The sequence below is a fragment of the Homo sapiens genome, chromosome 4, assembly GCF_000001405.40.
Source record: "Homo sapiens chromosome 4, GRCh38.p14 Primary Assembly".
Taxonomy (NCBI): Eukaryota; Metazoa; Chordata; class Mammalia; order Primates; family Hominidae; genus Homo; species Homo sapiens.
This window is the reverse complement of record NC_000004.12, coordinates 169,951,614-169,965,693: the sequence shown is the minus strand read 5'-3', so window position 1 is coordinate 169,965,693 and position 14,080 is coordinate 169,951,614. Positions and strand designations below refer to the sequence as shown.

General features: G+C 42.1%; 1 long non-coding RNA gene across 1 annotated transcript in view; it reads left to right on the top strand.

The window, feature by feature from the left end:
• Nucleotides 1-14,080, top strand: part of LINC02275 (long intergenic non-protein coding RNA 2275) — a 58,142-nt gene that overhangs the window by 10,209 nt on the left and 33,853 nt on the right. The window lies entirely within an intron of this gene.

Here is a 14,080-nt window from a genome sequence, read left to right as displayed (position 1 = left end):
CTCAGTATCACGATTAATATTAGCTCACTGTAAATAAATTTTGGCTAGATAAGTGAAAGAAATAGGCAGTGGGTTTTGTGTCTGATTGGATTTGCACTCATATCTCCAAAACTCTTTGATGTTTGAATGGACACAGATCACAATGAAACCATCAAAGCCCAAACGTCCATTGAGCCTTACTTGTTTTAACACGGAAAGACAGTATTTAATAAATAATAGCATAGAGAGAGTTTAGTAAATAATGGCATCTCCTTATACGGTAACACTTCTGCTACTTGGAGTATTTATAACATTTCACTGACTTTCCACCGTGCTCTTGAAAAGACTTGAATTCTCAAATCCAAAGCATTTCGGATTCCATTGTCATCCCTGAAATCGGTTCATGGTTTCTGTAACCATAGAACCTTGGGTCTATGAAAAGTGTGAGGTGTGTGTGTGTGTGTGTGTTGTCCCTTTTCTCTGATCCAGCATTTTGACTGTTTCAGTTACTGTTGGAGAGAAAAAGAAATTCTAGAAGTCCCTCCAAATTTGAAACCTCCATCCATCTTCAGTATGTCAGACTACATAAGCCTTACTAGAGCTGTCAAAGGATAATTTTTCAGACTGCTAAGTCTAAGGGTACACACATGGGCAACTCAGTTCAAACAACAGGGGAAAAAAAGGAAACTAAGAGTAGATGCTGCTGCCTATTTTGACTATTCATGAAATCTAAAATTTAAGAGTTTTCCATACACAAAACAACATTTGGCCAGACATGGTGGCTCACACCTGTAATCCCAGCATTTTGGGAGGCCGAGGCAAGCAGATTGCTTGAGCTCAGGAGTTTGAGGCTAGCCTAGGCAACATGGGGAAACCCTGTCTCTACAAAAAAATACAAAAATTAGTCAGGTGTGGTGGCATGCACCTGTGGTCCCAGCTACTCAGGAGGCTGAGCTGGGGGGATCGCTTGAGCCCAGGAAGCAGAGCTTGCAGTGAGTCGAGAGCGCACCACTGCTTTCTAGCCTGGGTGACAGAGCCAGACTCTGTCTCAACAAAAAAAAAGCAACATTTTACAGGGAGACTTAGGTGTTTAAATCTCACCTATCTACAGATTTATTATTTGTGAATAGCTTCCCACTTAGATGGCCCATCTTTTGTCTGGAAATAGCATCTTGCCATTACCTCATACGTCTCAAGAATATCTGTCTTAAGGATCAGTGAGCAAATACAACCATCAAACATCATGAGCTCCCCAGAATATTAGAGGTATAAAACGTCAAACTTGATGGTGGTCGTTAATATAAAATGCTGGGAAACCTGCTTCATTTGTTTGTGTCTTTGTGTGTTTGCTTTCCAGTGACATATGAACATCAAATATCAGGGGAGAAACATACTGATTCACCAGGTTTAAATCTTTCAGAGGCTAAAATACACTTCCAATATTTTCCCATGTAGCTATTTTAGACCATAGACTGGACTCGTGCCAAATCATACAATCAGATTGCTTCAACTACCCAGATACATGTGGGCAAAAATAGTAATTCCTCACCAAGTTATTATTAGTTTTTGCTGCCTGAATCATGGCTAAGACCTATTTGTTTTTAGAAGGGATATTGACATAATTAAATTATAACCAATTTGAATACTTCCTGCCTAGTTAGTGCCTCTATTAGCAGCTTCTAGTTGGAAATCCTCTCCTAAATGCAGTTTCCTTTCCTAAGCATTGTCAGTTTCTGTGTGAAACTTGAGACTTTAAGGAAACCTGACCTACCGTGTATGTTACATGAACATGCTTTCTATTATAAAAAACACTGGTATTGTAATAACTACTACTGTCTGTTATTTTAGAGCTTTAACGTTAAAGCCAATCACCCAGCAGAATAAGAGATTCTGCAGTGGTGAGAATTTCATATTACATAAAATGTTAGAATCAGAATAGTCAAGTTGATAGTGATAATGATGCCCTTTATCTAACAGGGAGCACAAGGGGATCGCTACATAAATATGAAGTGTGTGTGTGGAATTGGAGTGACCACTTGGGAAGTTTTATTTCACTTGGTTTGATACAATCTTCATGGCCTATTGTAACTATCCTAAGCCACCTAAAATCATTTCTATTAGTGGATGTAATATAACTGTATTAATTTGAAGAATAGCTATAATAACAAAAAGTCCTTCGTTATTTAGAGGGTATGAGTTGGGTGGTACTTTTAAAACAGCATTTAGTGTTTCCCCAGTTCAGGTTTAACATGAATTAGTGGCCCAATTAGCCCTTTGTTATGAAGTAGGTCTTTGTGAAAATCAGGCCAAATTTAAAATGTATGTGTGTGTGTGCACACGCAAGAGTGCCAGCGAAAATCATACAATTGAGTCAATCTCAGAGATTTCATGAGTTTTATTAAGCAAATACTATAAATACTTTGACCACATGAAGAGAAGAGTAATCATCTAGTTATTCTGGTTGCTGCTTCTGGTCTCAACTCACAGAATGTATTCTTGCAAGGGAGTCATCCAAGGCCCAGGAGGACTTGACTTTCCTCCTGCCCCTAAGGCACATCACTCACAGCCTGAGGACCAGACCTGCGGACAGCAGGGAGAGGAGGAGGTGAAATGGGTTATCCTTGGCTTTGTCAGTTTTTCATTTTCCTTTTATTCCCACCCACCCCCCGATTCCTAATCCCTCTATTTTCAGCAACTCCCTATCCTGTACCCCATTTCTTCTGGGTCTCATGCTTATCCAGCTGTTCAGCAAATCTCCAGTTAACTCTGAATCTGATAACTTATTAAGCAAGATCAAAGTAATGTCTCTGATGGTGGAATTTCAGGCAGATGGTGATGGGCAATTGGACTCAGGACAGGTGATTGGAGCTAATTTGAGAAAGGAGATTTGAGCCCTTATCCCTCCCAATCTATCTACCCTTAGGTTCTAAGAGTGAGAGGCCAAGAATGTTAGAAATATCCTATCATTCCTGTTTTTGCCCATCACAAACCTCACCAAATCAAACCCCACCCAATGCCCTTAAAATAGATAAGCCAGAGATACTGGCTTAATCTGATATATCATTCTCCTGTCAATAAAATATTTTTAATACCTATTAATAACTTAGAGCTCATTCTACAGTGGCAGATAAAAGTAACATTTTAAATCAGATCAGATAGAAGCACTGACAACATTTAATAAAATGTTTCTAAGCAACAGGGTAAAAAAATCAAAGAGTTTCAATAGCGCTGACATTAATAGAATAAAAAAGAATCCAAAAATAGCCTCTTTTTCTTATAAGCAATTCGCTCTGGAAGGTAAAACAAACTCCTTCCCGAAACTCAACCTATTGAATAATAACGTTTTTCCAAACATCCAACGTATAATCTAGCATGGAATGACCATGTAGTAGCCAAGGTTTAATGTGTATCAAAAACTTGGAGAGTAAACACTGGGAAATAGCGATAATTTAAATGCACTGGCCATATGACACGCCTTTCTTCAACCATTGGTTATTAGCATAACTTACAAATAAAAAGGAATGCTTAATATTCCTCTTTATGTATGTTTTGGGCCCATCCAAGTAGAACTTTTGATATTCCACTAGCTTTGTCAGCAGGATAGATAGATTTCTAAAGAGAAATGAGTGTCTGTAATAGACCCAAATAAGTACTTAAAAGATTCTAGTCTAGAGGAGAATATGTAATGTATTTGTGTCACCCTAATGCCCCAACACCCAAAGCCCTTTAATACTTGTAGATCATTTTTCTGATGGCCAGTGATGATGAGCATTTTTTCATGTGTTTTTTGGCTGCATAAATGTCTTCTTTTGAGAAGCGTCTATTCATGTCCTTTGCCCACTTTTTTTTTTTTTTTTTTTGAGACGGAGTTTCGCTCTGTCGCCCAGGCTGGAGTGCAGTGGCGCGATCTCGACTCACTGCAAGCTCCGCCTCCCGGGTTCACGCCATTCTCCTGCCTCAGCCTCCCGTGTAGCTGGGACTACAGGCGCGCGCCACCATGCCCGGCTAATTTTTGTATTTTTAGTAGAGACGGGGTTTCACCGTGTTAGCCAGGATGGTCTCGATCTCCTGACCTCGTGATCCGCCCGTCTCGGCCTCCCAATGCCCACTTTTTGATGGGGTTGTTTGTTTTTTTTCTTGTAAATTTGTTTGAGTTCATTGTAGATTCTGGATATTAGCCCTTTGTCAGATGAGTAGGTTGCGAAAATTTTCTCCCATTTTGTAGGTTGCCTGTTCACTCTGATGGTAGTTTCTTTTGCTGTGCAGAAGCTCTTTAATTTAATTAGATCCCATTTGTCAATTTTGTCTTTTGTTGCCCACATATACACCATGGAATACTATGCAGCCATAAAAAATGATGAGTTCATGTCCTTTGTAGGGACATGGATGAAATTGGAAATCATCATTCTCAGTAAACTATCGCAAGAACAAAAAACCAAACACCGCATATTCTCACTCATAGGTGGGAATTGAACAATGAGATCACATGGACACAGGAAGGGGAATATCACACTCTGGGGACTGTGGTGGGGTGGGGGGAGGGGGGAGGGATAGCACTGGGAGATATACCTAATGCTAGATGACGAGTTAGTGGGTGCAGTGCACCAGCATGGCACATGTATACATATGTAACTAACCTGCACAATGTGCACATGTACCCTAAAACTTAAAGTATAATTAAAAAAAAAATACTTGTAGATCAATTTTCCCACCACTGCCTCTTTGAAATTATAACTTAGAAATCAGTGAACAGTCTCATTAACTTATCCAAGAGATAAGGACAGTGTGTGTGAAGTCTGTAGAGAAGGCATGTAGCATACAGATGCATATTGTCTGCTCTGTTTTACTCTGCACGTCCGCAAAGACACACACACCCCCCCCACACACACACCCCACACACACACACAGGCTTAAGAAAGAAAAAAAGGAGGCCCCTGCGCTGGTCATTGGTCTGATTGACAAACCAGTATTGGTTACTTTGATTTCTCCATTCCTGCTGCCAGCTGGAGGCAGATGGAGAGTCAACGTAGGGGGCATGTGCATCATTTTATTGGAGAAAAAGAAGTTTGTGTGACATACATACATACATGCAGGAAACATTTTTTTTTGAGACAAAGTCTCGCTCCGTCACCCAGGTTGGAGTGCAGTGGTGCCAACTGTCTTCACTGTAACCTCTACCTCCTGGGTTCAAGCGATTCTCCTGCCTCAGCCTCCTGAGTAGCTGGGATTACAGGCGCCTCCCACCACGCGTGGCTAATTTTTGTATTTTTAGTAGAGACAGGGTTTCACCATGTTGGCCATGCTGGCCTCATATTCCTGACCTCAAACGATCTGCTGGCCTCAGCCTCCCAAAGTGCTGAGATTACAGGCATGAGCCACTGTGCTCAGCTGGAAGTATAATTTTAAGAGTTGTTTACTTAATGATTACCCGCTTTTTAGAAAACTCACCAATGTCTACCTATATCTCATCTCTATCTATCTCTATCTCTATCTCTATCTCTATCTCTATCTCTATCTCTATCTCTATCTCTATCTCTATCTCTATCTATTTATCTCGTATGTCCACTAAAGCTCACCAGAGATCGTTTATAAGATTAAGTGCTCAGGACTTTGTTCTGGCCCAAGTGATTGCACACCTCTGCCAAAATCAGCTTGATTTTTCTCCCGTGTTATGTCTTTATATACCCTATATACAAATTCTAGAACTATTGTTTTGCTCTTTTAAACCACCTTCAATGTTCAAGATGATCAAAAATTAATGCATTCGTCTGTTTCCACGTCTGCTTGGTGGACATTTCTGAGACCAGGGCTTGACGTCATGGTTTTCATTGTTTCCATTATTCCCATCACTTTCTACTGTATCTTAGTGAAAGTGTAAAGTCATCACAAAGTGAAATGTCTAAATTTATGGAAAATGATTAACACAAATTCCATTTAAAATTACTTCCACAAACCCCAAAATTAAGCTGCCAATTGCTCCTACCATTTTTATGAGGTAGCTATTATAGTGTGCCCCCAACTGTCCTTCAACCATCATGTATCTTAAGGTTCTATAATAACTACACAAGGAAGTCACAGATATGAGACTAAAATTGAATGCAAGGTTAATATTCTTTTTCTCAGCTTCCATCCCTAATACTCCATTTGCTGATCTAGCCATTTTTCACTTTGATAATGTAATGGTGTTTTCATTTAGACATATTGCCTCCATTAATGCTGTCCTGCCTGACGTCAGCATGTATATATAAAAGGCACTATACCATGCAGCAAAATATTAGGTCAGTCACAGCCCATGGCAGTAAAAAAAACAGTACTGAATGGATGGACAAATGAAACTGCTTCTAATTACATACTGTGCTTCATCACTGAGAGTCAAACTACAGAGGTATGTTTTGCATTGTCCTAGATTAGCCTTAAAACAACTACGTGGATAAGTCAACTAATTTGGCCTCACCTCGGAAGTACCCTGCAGATAAAATGGCAGAGCGTGAGTTACCTCCCTTGCTTGCTTCTTCAAGAGTCCAGCCTCTTAATTCATCATTTAAGAAGAGTCTCAGTAGTGGCACTGAACCATAAAATACTATCTCCAAGCACAGCGTTATAGAATAGTGAAGAATGTTGAACTAAAAAGCTAGAGACTTGTTTTCCTGTCTGGCTCAGCCAATAACTAGTTAGGTTAACACAATTTACATTACACGTACTGCCATTTCAGACGCCCTAAATGGCTCTCAATTGTCATACGGATCAAAGTCAAGCTCCCCATGTTGCCTTTAATTTCAGCCACTGTTCTCTCTAGTTGTCTGAGGGTGACCTGGCACAGTGGCGAGGTGCGCAGGCTGAGCCTGACAACCTGCATTTGAATCCTGGGTGTGCCACTGATCCACTGCGTGCCCTTGGGCAAGTTACTTAACCTCTTTGGGATTCAAGTTTTTAATCCGTAATTGAGAGAGAATAACAATAGCTACCTTTTAGGGCTGTGATGAGGATTAAGTGAGTTGAAATTGTCATGTCCTTAGTATGATACCTGAAGAATAGGTATTATGTGTTTGTTAAAGAGAAAGTAGTCCTTCCACTTTAAATTCCAACTTTAACCTATCTGCTCCACAGTTCTTTTCCAAATAAATAACTATGGTTTGGTTCTTTCCCAAACCCTATATATGGCTTAAGAATCAATGGACAATTATTGAGTTGAGTTAGCAGTTCAAACATGCTGATGTATTCAAGGTGTCTGGGAGCTATGAGACTGGTTTTCCTTTGATGCTTGATCCACTTCCTAGTTATCCCCTTGTACTCCTTCTTGTATTTCAGTATTTCCTGTGTACATGTAAGCCTAAAAGGTGCCATTCCCTATGAAGAATCATTTCTCTTTTCACCCCACTTCTCCTGGCAAACTTTTGTCCCTCTTTCAAGATGCATCCCAAACATCACCTCTTCAGTGAAGACTTCCCGATTCCCCAAATTACTAAGGCACTGTCTTTTCATAGCAGTTTTTTAAATGGCCACAAACTTATTTTACAGTCACCCCATTGAAAGTTAGATTCTATGCCCCTTCCCCTTGCACCTGGGTGGGCTTGAGGCTGCTTCACGCAATAGAGTATTGCAAAAGTGATCCTAGTGTTTTATGAGGCTGAGTCATAAGAAGTGATGTGGCTTTCGCCTTATTTGCTGGGATACACGCATTTGGAGCCTGAGGCTGCCATGCTGTGAGGAAGCCTGGCTCTGTGGGGAGTCATGTGCACACACTCCACTCAGCAGTTCTGCTCATTGTGTCTTCCCAGTTGGGGTCCCAGACATCATGAAACAGAAAAAAGTCATCTCTTCTCTGTCTCTTCTGTGCCCTCTCCAAATTCCTAACCCACCAAGTCTAGGAGAATAATAAAATAATTGCTTTATGCCAGTTAGTCTTGGGCTAATATGTTACACAGTGAAAGTAACTGGAACAATTTTCTATGATTCCAAAAGACTTTGTTTAGGCCGAGCACAGTGGCTTACGCCTGTAATTCCAGCTACTTGGGAGGCTGAGGCACAAGAATCACTTGAACCCAGAGACAGAGGTTACAGTGAGCTGAGATCATGCCACTGCACTGCAGCCTCAGCAACGGAGCAAGACCCTGTATCAAAAAAAAAAAAAAAAAGACTTGGTTTATGCCAACATTATAGCCCTTGATTACATTGCAGAATAATTTTATTTGTCCTGCTCAATGGATTGCAAGCTCCCCAAAGGCAGGAAGTCTGCTTTATTCATCTTTGTATACCTACTGCCAACCATGGTGCCTGGCACATGACAGATGCTTCATATATGTTTGTCAAATAAATATGTTTGTCATATATGTTTGTCTATATTTGAATATATAGATGTCAAATAATATTAGATGAAGTTATTTTAAAATTATAATATAACTTACATTGCCGGGCACAGTGGCTTCCTCCTGTAATCTCAGCATGTTGGGAGGCCAAGGCAGGTGGATGGCTAGAGCTCAGGAGTTCAAGACTAGGGTGGGCAACATGGTGAAACCCTGTCTCTACCAAAAAAAATACAAAAATTAGGTGGGTGTGGTGGTACACGCCTGTGGTCCCAGCTTCTCTAGAGGCTAAGGGGGAAAGATCGCTTGAGCCCAGGAGGCAGAGGTTGCAGTGAGCTGAGATCGTGCCACTGCACTCTGGCCTGGGCGATAGAGCCAGACTTTGTCTCAAAAAAATAAAAAATAGATTTAAAAAAATTTTTAAATTTTAAAATTGTAATTTAAACTTATAATCACTAGAAATTTTTATCCAGTGCCTCAAACTCCATGGATTCTCAAAAACCCATACAATGGCTGGCAGTGCTTGTATATCTGCATATACATTTAACACACGTCACGTGAGTGTGCACACGCATTTTGTGTGCATTTGTTCTCCCCAGACTCCTCACCCCAGCCTCACCAGCATCTACGTATTTATTGGACTAATCACTCAAAGAGATCCCCTAACTTGGGCTAGCTTACAGGAATCCCTTTATTCTTCCCTGCCACATAAATCATGCCTGAACATAAAACCCTCCTTGAAGTCATTCCTGTTGAATTAGCACAGAACATGACAGAGAGCTGGCCTCTGGCTTCCAAACCAAGCCAGCAGTAAGCCTGTAGGATTCTTAATAGGTTCTTTCATGGGATAGCCACACATCCTTTAACCAGCAGTGGCTTGCACATTCTTCCTTGATTGTTAAACACTATTTTTATGCAGTTTGAGTAAGCCAAGAAAGTAGAGTTTTTGTTTTCATTGCCAGCTTTAGCTGACTATATATAGATACATATTATATGCTCACACAGATATGTGACATATATATGTATATTCACACCAAGTTTTCTCCGTCGGGTTAGCAGCCTGATTTGGCTTCACTCTGGAGCTTAGAGCTCCTGGTGAGACTTCAGGGAATGCTGTTCACTTGCTCTTCCATGTGCTATAGAGGAAAAATCTGTGCCAGCCCTGCTAAATGCCAGGCAAAAGCTTCATTCTGTCTTCATTTATTTTGTTGGGTTTGAGGTGAATCTTGATTTAGTTTTCACATGCAAACCAATTATGCCACTTTTCAAGGGTCTAACTTTGTAAACAGCATTTCAAGAAGCCGCATAAATCAACAAGCCATGTAAAGGGGCCGAGATTAAAGTACACATGAAATTTACCCAGAACTGAAATCAAAGACTCAGATTAGGATTGGTGGAGGAATTTATATGTGAACCATATAAGTGGGAGATGGGATTTTTCTGGGATGAGAAGGTGCCTGGGAGACCACACGATGGATGGTGGTGGGCCAAGAAGAAACTGGTCATTAACCTGTCTGTAGGCTGTGACATAAGAAGAATTCAGCCAGGTGCAGTAGCTCACGCCTGTGTTCCCAGCACTTTGGAAGGCTGAGGCAGGCAGACCACTTGAGGTCGGGAGTTTGAGACCAGCTTCGCCAACATGGTGAGACCATGTCTGCACTAAAAATACAAAAATTAGCCGGGTGTGGTGGGGCATGTCTGTAATCCCAGCTACTTGGAAAGCTGAGGCAAGAGAATCAGTTGAGCCCAGGAGGCAGAGGTTGCAGTGAGCCAAGATCATGACACTCCACTCCAGCCTGGGTGACAGAGCAAGACTCTTTCTCAAAAACAAAACAAAACAAACAGTAAAGTGTCCAGAATAGGCAAACCCTCAGGGGCATCGTAGATTAGTCCTTTCCAGAGACTAGGGGGTGGGTAGGTGGGGGGTGACTGCTGCTGGCCAGGGGGTTTCATTTTTGGGAAGTGATAAAAATGTTCTTTTTTTTTTTTTTTTTTTGAGACAGAGTCTTGCTCTGTCACCAGGCTGGAGTGCAGTGGTGCAATCTCAGCTCACTGCCACCTCTGCCTTCCAGGTTCAAGTGATTCTCCTGTCTCATCTTGCCGAGTAGCTGGGACTACAGGTGCCCACCACCACACTCGGCTAACATTTATATTTTTAGTAGAGACGGGGTTTCACCATGTTGGCCAGAATGGTCTTAATCTCTTGACCTCGTGATCCACCCGCCTCGGCCTCCCAAAGTGTTGGAATTACAGGCGTGAGCCACGGCGACTGGTCAAGAATGTTCTTTAACTGAGAATGGTGATGGTTATAGCTCTGTATATTGTACACCTGAAAAAGATAAATTTTATAGTGTATGGATTACAGCTCAAAATACTTCATGGCTTCAAACAACAACTCACTGCTATTTCTCACAGTTTTTTGGATGATGGGGTTCAGCTGAGCAGTTCTCATCTGGGTTCTCTCTGAAGTTGCCGTCAGATGCTGGCTGGGGTGACAGTCACCCAAGGCTTTGACTGGGCTAGATGTCCAAGAGAGCTCGCTACATAGCTGGCAGTTGATGCTGGCAGTTGGGTGTTGACCAGGGCAACCACACATAGCCTCTCAATGTGACTGGGGCCTCTCACCAAAGTGGCAACTGGCTTGTCAGAGGGAACCAAGAGGCAGGAAGCTTCCAGGCCAGATGGCACAGCATCATTTCCACCATGTTGTGTTTGTTAAAGGAGTCACAGATCCTGCTCACATTCAAGGGAGACGTGACAAGGTCCCATTGCAGAAGACCACATGGTTTCGGAGATATTACCGTAGGTATCTTTGGAAAATACAATCTGCCATGCTATCCTAAACATCAAGTTGGAAATAATAAGATCTTCAGAGTGTCTGGTCTATTGCCATGTATAATAAAAAATTGGGGACCTATAATCATATTGGTGACAATCTCTGTGTGAATAACCTCTTCCCTATTGTATTTAGAAATAAACTCATCCAGAAACCTCAGTTGTCTCTGCAGGGCTCTGGAGCATGGAGAGATGATGGTTTCTGGGTTCCCCGTCTATGCAGGATTTAATGATATTGGGTCTGGGAAAAGGCACTCAACGTTATATCCCACCACAGGGTCAGCATCCTCAAGCACTGTGTTCTTACAGCTCCAAACATCTGCAGGTATTTCTATAAAACCTTTGCTCGCCATGCCTCTATGCAAGTTCTAATAGGTTATACTTCAAGAAATCTCTTTTTCTTTGCTTCCCGGATATTAGCAGGGAAGAAAGAAAGATCTACTAAGACTAATCTGAGTAGAATTCCAATTCAGTGAAGTAAGATACTTAGGGCCGCATCAACGTTCACCCCAAGTTTATTTTACTTGCAAAATCATAATGCTGGAGCTAAAAATACCCTAATAACATGCATAATGAATAAGGAAACTCAATATTGGTAGGCTTTGGTTGTTACAGTAAAACCCGTTTTCTCCTGTGAATCATTTATTCAAATGACCACCCTTCTTTACAGTCCATCTCCTAATCTATACACCAAAATTTTGGCCAGCCATGGCAGCTCACACCTCTAATCCCAGGACTTTAAGAGGCCAAGGCTAGAGGACCACTTGAGGCCAGGAGTTTGAGACCAGCCTGGGCAACATGGTGAGCCCCATCTTTACAAAAAACTTTTTAAAAATTAGCTAGGTGTGCTGGCAGGCACTTGTAATCCTAGATACTCAGGAGGATGAGACAGGAAGATCTCTTGAGTCAAGGAGTTTGAGGCTGCAATGAGCCAGGATCATACCACTGCACTCAAGCCTGCGTGACAGAGCCAGACCCTATCTTTAAAAATTAGATAGTTGGATAGATAGACAGACAGACAGACAGACAGATAGATAGAATAGATAAAACTTTGATTCTGATCCCACTGCTCAACTGAAACTGTACTCCATGTGGTCATCCAAACGGTGAGTATGCCAAAATATTTAAGAGTGCAGGAAGGGGCCCTCACAGGTGATCCTAGAGTGTGGGCCACTTCCTTTTGCATCTGCTCTTGCTCTGTCCCCTATATTCCAGCCACACTGAACTACGGTGAAATAAGCCCCAAACATCTTTCCTATCTGCAAGCCTGTGCTCATGGTGTCCCCTTCACCCGACATCCCCTTCCCATGTCCATCTACCTATTGAACTTGACCTTAAGGACCGGTGCCAATGTTACTTCCTTTTTGTACCTCTCCTAATCCATTTCTCCACCATTCCATCAATTGCTCCTTATCTATGTTCTCTGTATTTTATACACACCCTTATCATACCATTTATATCGCATCTTATGTATTTATCTGTATTCCTTCCTCTCACATTGCATCGCACGCAAAATGATCATGATTACTATTTGTTGAACTCATGCCTCCTAGTTTCCCTTAGAGTGAAAGTAACTGTCACCACTTTTTGTCCACCTCCTCTTACCCAATCTCAACAGGGAAGATAAACATGGCAGGGCAGAAATGCTAGGAGAAAGGCTGCTCTGCAGCTCAGCAGAAACCCAGACACTTAAAAGTGAACTGATCTCATGATTTCAGGAAGCCTAGCAAAAAATAAAATTAAAAAGTGAACTGAAGTTCATGCGAGTGATTGTGGTGAATGCAAAAAGGAAGTGGGATGATTTTTATAGCTTTTCTAGAAAAATAATGACAGAAACTTGAGACGTGGGATGGTGAATGGGGAAGTCAAAGAGGTAGGAGGCTCTCCTGCCCTGTTTCGAGTACTCTCTGGAATGGCGTTGACCAAATTGCATTGACCATAGAGCCTAGTTAGTGGCTGTTATGTTTTCTCAGTGTTCTCAAGATATGTTTTTTCTTCATGATTACTTTAAAAATGTAACTTCTAAGACTATCTCAGTAGTAGAAATCATTTTGGCAGAAAAGAGTAGAAAAATAATCTAAGTATGTATTGCCTGTGGTTACTAAAGTACTCATGCAAAAACCCAGCCCACTGAGGTTTTTAAACTTTGATATGTGTCAGGCTCACCTGAAGGGCTTGTGAAAACACTGATTGCAGTGCCTTACCCTGAACTTAGTAGATCTGAGTTGGGACCCCAAATTCACATTTCTCACAAGCATCATCCCAGGTGATGAGGATTTGCTTACCTGAGGACCTCACTTTGAGAACCAGTGCTCTCATTCATTCATGTCTTATGCTGTGACCTCCAGGCGGGGTCACACAGGTCTTCTTTCCCTGATCTGGACACCTCCTCCTAAACCCTCCCTTCCATCTCAGTCTAATGGGGTGTGAGCCCACGCAGTGAGTGTCAAAAGTGCCCAGGAGGCCGGGCACGGTGGCTCACACCTGTAATCCCAGCACTTTGGGAGGCCGAGGCTGGCGGATCACGAGATCAGGAGATCGAGACCATCCTGGTTAACACGCTGAAACCCCGTCTCTACTAAAAATACAAAAAAATTAGCCGGGCGTGGTGGCGGGCGCCTGTAGTCCCAGCTACTCAGGAGGCTGAGGCAGGAGAATGGCATGAACCCGGGAGGCGGAGCTTGCAGTGAGCCGAGATCGCGCCACGGCACTCCAGCCTGGGCGACAGAGCGAGACTCGTCTCAATAAAAAAAAAAAAAAGAGGGGGGGAGCCCAGGAACACTGCATCTAAAATAACAGAAATGGAGTTAGAAAGTAGAGAAGTGAGGAAAGGCACATATTTATTACTAACTGATTAAAAAAAAAAAAAACAGGCCAGGTGTGGTGGCTCATGCCTGTAATCCCAAGCACTTGGGGAGGCTGAGGCAGGAGGATCACTTGAGCCCAGGAGTTTGAGATTAACC